The sequence below is a fragment of the Homo sapiens genome, chromosome 14 (genome assembly GCF_000001405.40).
Source record: "Homo sapiens chromosome 14, GRCh38.p14 Primary Assembly".
NCBI lineage: Eukaryota > Metazoa > Chordata > Mammalia > Primates > Hominidae > Homo > Homo sapiens.
Window position 1 is genome coordinate 48,262,052 of NC_000014.9, and position 6,698 is coordinate 48,268,749.

At 45.0% G+C, this 6,698-nt stretch overlaps 1 long non-coding RNA gene across 1 annotated transcript, besides 1 other annotated feature; it reads right to left on the bottom strand.

Moving 5' to 3' along the window:
• Nucleotides 1–380: 380 nt before the first annotated feature.
• Nucleotides 381–6,029, bottom strand: LOC124903310 (uncharacterized). Its single transcript, XR_007064150.1, has 2 exons — nt 3,510–6,029; nt 381–432 (listed from the first exon to the last, which is right to left on the bottom strand). It is a non-coding gene; the product is annotated as an uncharacterized LOC124903310 (long non-coding RNA).
• Nucleotides 5,696–6,415: an enhancer, noted in NCBI's record as "OCT4-NANOG-H3K27ac hESC enhancer chr14:48736950-48737669 (GRCh37/hg19 assembly coordinates)". NCBI's record gives its function as "activates a minimal SCP1, AML or CMV promoter by ChIP-STARR-seq in primed H9 embryonic stem cells {active_cell/tissue: H9 hESC(primed)}" and the evidence as "EXISTENCE:reporter gene assay evidence [ECO:0000049][PMID:30033119]".

A 6,698-nucleotide genomic window follows, 5' to 3' on the forward strand; every position in this document is an offset into this window, starting at 1 on the left:
TTCCCACTTTATTTACCTCTCCCCACTACCCTTCCCAGTTTTGGTAACAATCATTCTACTCTCTATGAGTTCAATTTAATTTTTTTCTCACATATCAGTGAGAAGATGTGTCTTTCTGTTCCTGGATAATTTCACTTAACATAATGACCTGTAATTCCAACCATGTTGTTGCAAATGACAGAATTTGATTATTTTTTATTGCTGAATAATATTCCATGGTGTATATGTACCATATTTTCTTGATGCATTCATCTGTCAATGAACACTCAGGTTGTTCCACGTCTTGCTATTTTGAATAATGCTGCAATAAACACAGGAATGCGAATACTCTTTTGATATATTTTTCATGCACGTCCGTGTGAAGAGACTACCAAACAGGCTTTGTGTGATCAATAAAGCTGTTTATTTCACCTGGGTGCAGATGGGCTGAATCTGAAAAGAGAGCGAAGGGAGATAGGGGTGGGGCCGTTTTATAAGATTTGGGTACGTAAAGGAAAATTACAGTCAAAGAGGATTGTTCTCTGGTGGGCAGGAGTGGGGGTCACAAGGTACTCAGTGGGGGAGCTTTTGAGCCAGGATGAACCAGGAGAAGGAGTTTCACAAGACAATGTCATCAGTTAAGGCAGGAACAGGCCATTTTCACTTCTTTTGTGGTGGAATGTCATCAGTTAAGGCAGGAACGGGCCATCTGGATGTGTACGTGCAGGTCACAGGGGATATGATGGCTTAGCTTGGGCTCAGAGGCCTGACATTCCTGTCTTCTTATATTAATAAGAAAAATAAAATGAAATAGTGGTAAAGTGTTGGGACAGTGAGAATTTTGGAGGATGGTATGGAGAGATAATGGGCAATGTTTCTCAGGGCTGCTTTGACCGGGATTAGGGGCGGCATGGGAACGCAGAGTGGGAGAGTTTAAACCGAAGGAAGATTTTGTGGTAAGGGGTGATATTGTGGTGTTGTTAGAAGGAACATTTGTCATTTAGATTATTGGTGATGGCCTGGATACAGTTTTGTATGAATTGAAAAACTAAATGAAATAAGAGAAGGAGAAAAACAGGTATTAAAGGTCTAAGAATTCGGACGACTCAGGATATCTGATTAGAGAGTGCCTAAGGAGGTTCAGCATAGTCCTGTCAGCAAAGATTATTTATTTACTTCAAGAGTTAAGAGTGGCAGTTTGGGGATAGCACTAGGAGATAACAGCTGTGATGGCTTGGAGAAACAGTGTAAACCGGCAGTGTAAACAAGAGCAGGGCATGTATGAGTAGTTGAGAACAGTGAATAGGAGTATGACTAGACAGAAGATAGTAGGGATGACAAGTTGTTTTGGGGCACAGTCTAAGTTGGTCTGGTGTCTGGAATGAGACTGGGGCCTAATAAAAAGGATCATCTATACAGGAGCTTAAATGGGCTGTACCTTGTAGCATTCTGAAGACATGCCTGAATTCTGAGAAAGGAAAGTGGTAAAAGTATTGTCCAGTCCTTTTTAAATTGGTGGCTGAGCTTGGTGAGGTGTGTTTTTAAAAGACTTTTAGTCTGTTCTACTTTTCTTGAAGAAGGAGGACCGTAAGGGATATAAAGGTTTCACTGAATACTAAGAGCCTGAAAAAATGCTTGGCTGATTTGACTATAAAAGGCTGGTCTGTTATCAGACTGTATAGAGGTGGGAAGGCTAAACTGAGGAATTATGTCTGACAGAAGGGAAGAAATGACTGCGGTGGCCTTCTCAGACCCTGTAGGAAAGGCCTCTACCTATCCAGTGAAAGTGTCTACCTAGACTAAGAGGTATTTCAGTTATCTGACTTGGGGCATGTTGAGTAAAGCTAATTTGCCAGTCCTGGGTGGGGGCAAATCCTTGAGCTTGATGTGTAGGGAAGGGAGGGGGCCTGAATAATCCCTGAGGAGTAGTAGAATAGCAGGTGGAACACTGAGAAGTTATTTCCTTGAGGATAGATTTCCATGATGGAAAGGAAATGAGAGGTTCTAAGAGGCGGGCTAGTGGCTTGTACTATAGCATAGCCTGCCTTTGCTGGTGTGTGGTGATTAGGACTGGTGGAACTGCCATCAATAAACTAAGTGTGATCAGGGTGAGAAACAGGGAAGTAGGAAATGTGGGGAAATGAGGTGAATATCAGGTGGATCAGAGAGATACAGTCATGAGGGTCAGGTGTGGTATCAGGAATAATGTGCAAGGCCAGATTGAAGCCCGGGCCAGAAACAATGGTAATTGTGGGACTTAACAAAGAGTGAGTACAGCTGAAGGAGCTGGGGAGCAGAAAGTATATGCGTCAGGTGTGAGGAAGAAAATAGATTTTGGAAGTTATGAGAAATGTAGAGAGTGAGATGAGCATAGTTTGTGATTTTTAGGGCCTCTAAAAGTATTAAAGCAGCCACAGCCATTGCATGCAGACCTGAGGGCTAGGCTAAAAGAGTAAGGTCAAGTTGTTAGGACAGAAAGGCTACAGGGTGCCATCCTGGCTCTTGTGTAAGAATTCTGACCACACTAACCATCCCTAGGAAGGAAAGGAGTTGTTGTTTTGTAAGGGATTGAGGTTTGGGAGATTAATCGGACACGATAAGCAGGGAGAGCACGTGTGTTTTATGAGAATTATGCCAAGATAGGTAACAGATGAGGATGAAATTTGGGCTTGACTGAAGTAATGAGGGCTATCTGTGAAGCCTTGCGGCAGTACAGCCTAGGTAATTTGCTGAGCCTAATGGGTGTCCGGGTCAGTCTAAGTGAAAGCGAAGAGAGGCTGGGATGAAGGTTGCAAAGGAATAGTAAAGAAAGCATGTTTGAGATCTAGAACAGAATAATGGGTTGTGGAGGGAGGTATTGAGGATAGGAGAGTATATGGGTTCGGCACCACGGGGTGTATAGGCAAAACAATTTAGTTGATAAGGCACAGATCCTGAACTAATCTGTAAGACTTGTCCAGTTTTTGGACAGGTAAAATGGGGGAATTGTAAGGAGAGTTTATAGGCTTTAAAAGACCATGCTGTAGCAGGCGAGTGATAACAGGCTTTAATCCTTTTAAAGCGTGCTGTGGGATGGGATCTTGGCATTGAGCGGGGTAAGGGTGATTAGGTTTTAATGAGATGGTAAGGGGTGCATGATCGGTCGCCAAGGAGGGAGTAGAGGTATCTTATCCTTGTGGTTTAAGGTGGGGGGATACAAGAGGAGGACACAAAGGAGGCTTTGGATTGGAAAGAAGGGCGGCAATGAGATGTAGCTGTAATCCAGGAATGGTCAGGGAAGCAGATAATTTAGTTAAATTATCTGCCTAATAAGGCAGCCTAATAAGGGAACTGGGCAGGTGGGGATAACTAAAAGGAGTGCTTAAAAGAGTATTGTCTAAGTTGGCACCAGAGTTGGGGAGTTTTAAGAGGTTTAGAAGCCTGGCTGTCAATATCTAAAACAGTTATGGAGGCAAGGGAAATAGGCCCTTGAAAAGAAGGTAATGTGGAGTGAGTAGCCTCCGTATTGATTAAGAAGGGGACTGGCTTACCTTCTACTGTGAGAGTTATCTGAAGCTCGGCATCCGTGATGGTCTAGGGGGCTTCTGAGGCTATTGGGCAGCGTCAGTCTTCAGCCACTAAGCCAAGAAGATCTGGGAAGGAGTCAGAGAGCCTTGGGCCAGAGTTCCAGGGGCTCTGGGACTGGCTGCCAGGTGAGTTGGACAGTGCGATTTCCAGTGGGGTCCTGCACAGATGGGACATGGCTTAGGAGGAATCCCAGGCTGCAGGCATTCCTTGGCCTGGTGGCCAGATTTCTGGCACTTGTAGCAAGCTCCTGGGGGGGGAGGTTCTGGAGGAATGCCTGGCTGCTGCGGTTCAGGCGTTTGGAAGTTCTTGTGTGCTGGAGATGTGGCTGGGGTTTGTCTCACAGTGGAGGCAAGGAATTGCAACTTTTTTCTATTATTGTACACCTTGAAGGCAAGGTTAATTAAATCCTGTTCTGGGGTTTGAGGGCCGGAATTTAATTTTTGTTTTATTTAATGTCGGGAGCAGATTGGGTAATAAATTGTATTTTGTGAATAAGACGGCCTTTTGACCTTTTAGGGTCTAGGGCTGTAAAGCGTCTCAGGGTTGCTGTCAAACGAGTCATGAACTGGGCTGGATTTTTATATTTGATGAAAAAGAGCCTAAACGCTATCTGATTTGGGATAAAGAAAAAGGAACATTAACCTTGATTATGCCTTTAGCTCCAGCCAGCTTTTTAAGGGTAAATTGCTGGGCAAGTGGGGGAGGGTTAGTCATGGAATGAAACTGTAAACCAGACCAGGTGTGAGGAGGGGAGGTGATAAAAGGATTATAGGGTGGAGGAGCCGAGGCTGAGGAAGAATTGGGACCTAGCTTGGCCTGGCAAGAAGCAGCCTGGGGAGGAGGGGAGACGTCAGATGGATCTGTAGAAAAGGAAGATTAGAAAGACTCAGTGACACTTGGGGTTGGGACTGAGGGGACAGGCGGGAGGGAAAGAAGGAGGATTTGGGATGAGTTGCCTTGGGAAGAGAGACTAGAGAGGGACCGATGTGTAAAAGAATGCCTGGATGTCAGGCACCTCAGACCATTTGCCTATTTTATGACAAGAATTATTTAGATCTTGCAGGATGGAAAAATTGAAAGTGCCGTTTTCCAGCTATTTGGAACTACTGTCCAGTTTGTATTGGAGTCAAGTGGCATTGCAGAAGAAAATAAGATGCTTAGATTTTAGATCAGGTGAGAGTTGAAGAGGTTTTTAAGTTCTTAGAACACAGGCTAGGGAGAAGAAGGAGGAATGGAAGGTGGAAGCTTGCTCATAGTGAAGGAGGCAAGCCCAGAGAAAAGAGAGTAGAGACATGGAGAAGGGGTGGGGGGTTCTTGCCCTCCAGAAAAGCAGAGAAGGGGTCGGGGCGCAGAGATACGAGGTTGAGGTGTGGAAATAAGGGATCAGGGTGCAGAGATATAAGAGGTTGGGGAGCAGAAATAAGGGATGGGGTGCAGAGATATAAGATGGGGCACGGAAATAAGGGATCGGGGTGCAGAGATATAAGAGGTTGGGGTGCAGAAATAAGGGATCAGGGTGCAGAGATATAAGAGGTCGGGGCGCAGAAACGGGATCGGGGCGCAGAGATATAAGAGGTTGGGCTGTGGAAATAGGAGATCGGGGCTCAGAGATATAAGATGTCGGGGAGTGGAAATAAGGGATCAGGGCACAGAGATAGGAGGTTGGGGTACTTGTCCCTCCCCCAGAAAAGCGGGACTTGCCGCTCAGGGTGAAGGAGAAGGGGTTTGTGGTTTCTTGCCCCTCAGAAAGGCAGAGAAGGGGTAGAGACATGGAGAGAAGGTGTTGGGGTACTTGACCCTACCCCAGAAAAGCAGGACTTGCCGCTAAGGCTGAATGACGAAGGCAGGCATCCCTGCGTGGTCTGACACCTCTGAAACCTGGGTGAATAATCAGAGGGGTCCCTGCAATGATTAAACACCAAGGGAAGGCTGCCTTTGCAGTCCATGACCGGGGCCGGAGTTTTGGGTCCACAGATAAAACATGTCTCCTTTGTCTCTACCAGAAAATAAAGGGAATTGAAATTAAAAGAAGGGAGAGATTGAAGTGTGGTGCCAAGATTGAAAGGAGAAAGAGGCTGAGGCATAGTGAGGGAGGTTGGAGAACAGAGTAAAAAGAGGCCACTTACCGGATTTGAAATTGGCGAGATGTTTCTTGGGCTGGTTGGTCTGAGGACCTGAGGTCGTAGGGGGATCTTTCTCACAGAGCAAAGAGCAGGAGGACTGGGTATTGATCTCCCAAGGGAGGTCCCCCGATCCAAGTCACGGTACCAAATTTCATGCGCGTCCGTGTGAAGAGACCACCAAACAGGCTTTGTGTGAGCAATAAAGCTGTTTATTTCACCTGGGTGCAGGTGGGCTGAGTCTGAAAAGAGAGTCAGTGAAGGGAGATAGGGGTGGGGCTGTTTTATAAGATTTGGGTAGGTAAACGAAAATTACAGTCAAACGGGGTTGTTGTCTGGCGGGCAGGAGTGGGGGTCACAATGTACTCAGTGGGGGAGCCTTCAAGCCAGGATGAGTCAGGAGAAGGAATTTCACAAGACAATGTCATTAGTTAAGGCAGGAACAGGCCATTTTCACTTATTTTGTGGTGGAATGTCATCACTTAAGGCAGGAATGGGCTATCTGGATGTGTACGTGCAGGTCACAGGGGATATGATGGCTTAGCTTAGGCTCAGAGGCATGACAATATTGTTGTCCTTTCTTTTGGATATATATCCAGCATGGGATTATTGTATTACATGATAGAGGTATTGTAAGTTTTTTGAGGAACTTTAAAACTGTTTTCCATAGTGGCTGCACTGATTTACATTTTTGCTAACAGTCTATGAGGGTTCCCCTTTCCCCATATTCTTGCTGTATCTGTTATTATCTGACTTTTTGGTAAAAGCCATTTTAACTGGGGTGAGATAATATCTCATTGTGGTTTTAACTTGCACTTCTTTGATCAATAGTGATGTTGAGCATTTGTATGTACTTATTTGCTATTTGTATGTCTTTTGAGAAATGTCTATTCAGATATTTTGCCTATTTTTAAAATTGGATTTTTTCCTGTGGATTTGTTTGAGCTCCTTATATATTCTAGTTATTAATCCCTTGTCAGATGGGTAGTTCACAAAGATTTCTTGAGTGAAACCTCAAAAGCACAAGCAACT